The sequence below is a fragment of the Homo sapiens genome, chromosome 7, assembly GCF_000001405.40.
Source record: "Homo sapiens chromosome 7, GRCh38.p14 Primary Assembly".
Classification (NCBI taxonomy): domain Eukaryota; kingdom Metazoa; phylum Chordata; class Mammalia; order Primates; family Hominidae; genus Homo; species Homo sapiens.
In genome coordinates this window covers 81,294,420-81,296,988 of record NC_000007.14, presented here as the reverse complement: position 1 = coordinate 81,296,988, position 2,569 = coordinate 81,294,420, and the positions used below count along the sequence as shown (strand labels likewise).

Here is a 2,569-nt window from a genome sequence, read left to right as displayed (position 1 = left end):
TTGCTGTTAACGATGACAAAGCCTTGCTGAGATGTCATAAATCAACTGAGTAAAGGTCAATTTTCACCAGAATTGTCAACACTGGTCAGTCTTACTGTAACAATTTCCACATGTAAGGGAGTGTATTAGTCCATCTTCATGCTGCTGATAAAGACATACCCAAGACTGGGAAGAAAAGGAGGTTTAATGGACTTACAGTTCCACATGGCTGGGAAGACCTCACAATCATGGTGGAAGGTGAAAGGCAAGTCTCATATGGCAGCAGACAAGAGAAGAGAGCTTGTACAGGGAAACTCCCATTTTTAAACCCATCAGATCTCGTGAGACTTATTCACTATCATGAGAACAGCACAGGAAAGACCTGCTCCCATGATTCAATTACCTTCCCCAGGTTCCTCCCACAACACTTGGGAATTGTGGGAGTTACAATTCAAGATGAGATTTGGGTGGGGGCACGGCTGAACCATATCAGGAAGGAATAAAGAAAACAAATAGATCTCAGAACAATCAGTCTTTTACAGGGAATGGCATCTTCTACAGTAAAACTTGTAAAGACTAAGTCACTTCCTGGGGATCATTATCCTTTAAGAGAGCTATTAATTAACCTAATAATGACCATAAATGTGGAGTTGATGTCTCCCTGCATCAGATAATTTGGATAGTACTCAGACTAATTTTCTGAAGTTATTTATCCAATTAACCTGAAGATTATTTGTAATTACTACTACTTTTATCACAATACCTTGGGTTGTGGTGATAGAAACCCTAGAAAAAATTTTTAAATCATGTTAAAATGGAATTTAACCATTTTAGCCATTTGTATTCATCCACCCATTAGTATGGATAAATTAATCATATATTTATTATTTGTACCTTAGAAGAGAACAAAGCTAGAAAATAAGACAAGTGCATTTTTCCAAGGAAAACAAATATTGAAATATATGTGGCTTTTTTGCTTGAGGACTAGATGAAAAGCATCAGGAATAGCCTGGGAACTGGTGCGGATGGTAGATCCCAAGGGAAGAAGAGTAAAGAATATCAATATCAAGATATAAGCTGCTTTTACATTATATTATACCTGTATTTAAGCTTTGTTAATAACTTTCCCTAATTAGTTCTTCTGTAATATTAGATTAATTTATGTATAGGTGGGAAAACAGAAATACAGTTTTGAGTGCTTATACAGGAAAGTTCACATGTGAGGGTTGAGGTCTCCTCAAATATGGTTTAATATCCCAATGCATCTTCACACCACCTTGTAAATATGCATACAACCTCTGCTTTTTCTTAACTATTCAGCACTTTTTTTTATCTTTATGGAAATCTGGGGAAGGGAAATCATTTCCCTGTCAGGATTAAATTTTTTAGAACTCTAGAGTGCTCAGGGTTAACATTTTAAAAATAGGTTTATATTCCTTGGAGCTGAAGAAATTGAAAAGAAAAATTACAGTTACATTCCAGCAGAAGCATATTTAAGGTAACTCACATATTGACGGCAGAGGCAGCCCATCTGGAGTGGCCTCTGCCAAGATGCTGGCTGCAGCGGGGGAGGCATGGCCAGGGCTGTGTGCTCCACAAAGCTGGTGGAGACCAGGAACAGGTGGGACTGCTCCCTACTGAGTCAGTGGGGTAGGAACCACACACTCCTCTGCACAGCTGCAGCAACCCAGCAGTAGCTCCAGACCCAGGCATCACTGTGGTCTCCGCGTCCAAGAAGTCTCCCCTGCCCCCGCAGACTCAGAACTGCCTGCTCCCACACCCTGGCCTCTCACCAATCCCAGTGCCCACTCAGCAAAGTTATGGCTGAGCCTGGGTGTTGTCACACCTCTGCTAGATGTGTGCATACTCATGGCAGCGCTGACACACCAGCCCCCTGTCGCCTCAGCCCCCTCCCGACTTTGGGCACCGACGAGCACAGGGGAGAGTCAAGGGGTTACCGAGGGCAGTTCAGCGCAGGCCTCTAGACACCCCATGGCATGGACAGCCAGGGCACCAAGGATGACATGTTAATGACAGCAGGAGGTAGAAAGGTACCTGGACAGAAAGGGGCAGGTCTCTGCTGAAAACCCTCCTTCAATCCAGGAACAGCTTGAAGCCTGGGGGCCGGGCTGCCAGTTCCTGGTGGAGTCTGCAGCCCGGAGTGAGAACTTAGGTGCTTTTTCTGGGCCCACCCATGGCTGCGCCTGGATGGTTCAGCATGCACTCCATCGTTTCTGAGCCCATAAACACCCCGGACTTAGCCAGGCTCACAGAGATCTTGGGACTACCAGCTGTGGGTCTCCTCGACTCATTGGGACGACCTGCCTGTGGAAAGGCATTAACTTCTTTGGGTCTTCTCTCTGCTTAGGGCTGCACTCATCAGGACTGCCTGCCTGCAGAGAGGAGCTACCCACTCCAGGTCTCCTCTCTGTTGAGAGCTGGACACTCATCAGGATGACATGCCTGTGGAAGAAGCTACCCACTTTGGGTTTCCTGAGAGCTGTTCTGTTGCTCGGTAAAGCTCCTCTCCACTTTGCTCACCCTCCAGTTGTCCACATACCTCATGCATTCTGGGCACAGGACAAGAACT

General features: G+C 45.2%; 1 annotated feature.

Annotated features, from left to right (window-relative positions):
• Nucleotides 1,779-2,280: an enhancer, noted in NCBI's record as "H3K4me1 hESC enhancer chr7:80924025-80924526 (GRCh37/hg19 assembly coordinates)". NCBI's record gives its function as "activates a minimal SCP1, AML or CMV promoter by ChIP-STARR-seq in naive H9 embryonic stem cells {active_cell/tissue: H9 hESC(naive)}" and the evidence as "EXISTENCE:reporter gene assay evidence [ECO:0000049][PMID:30033119]".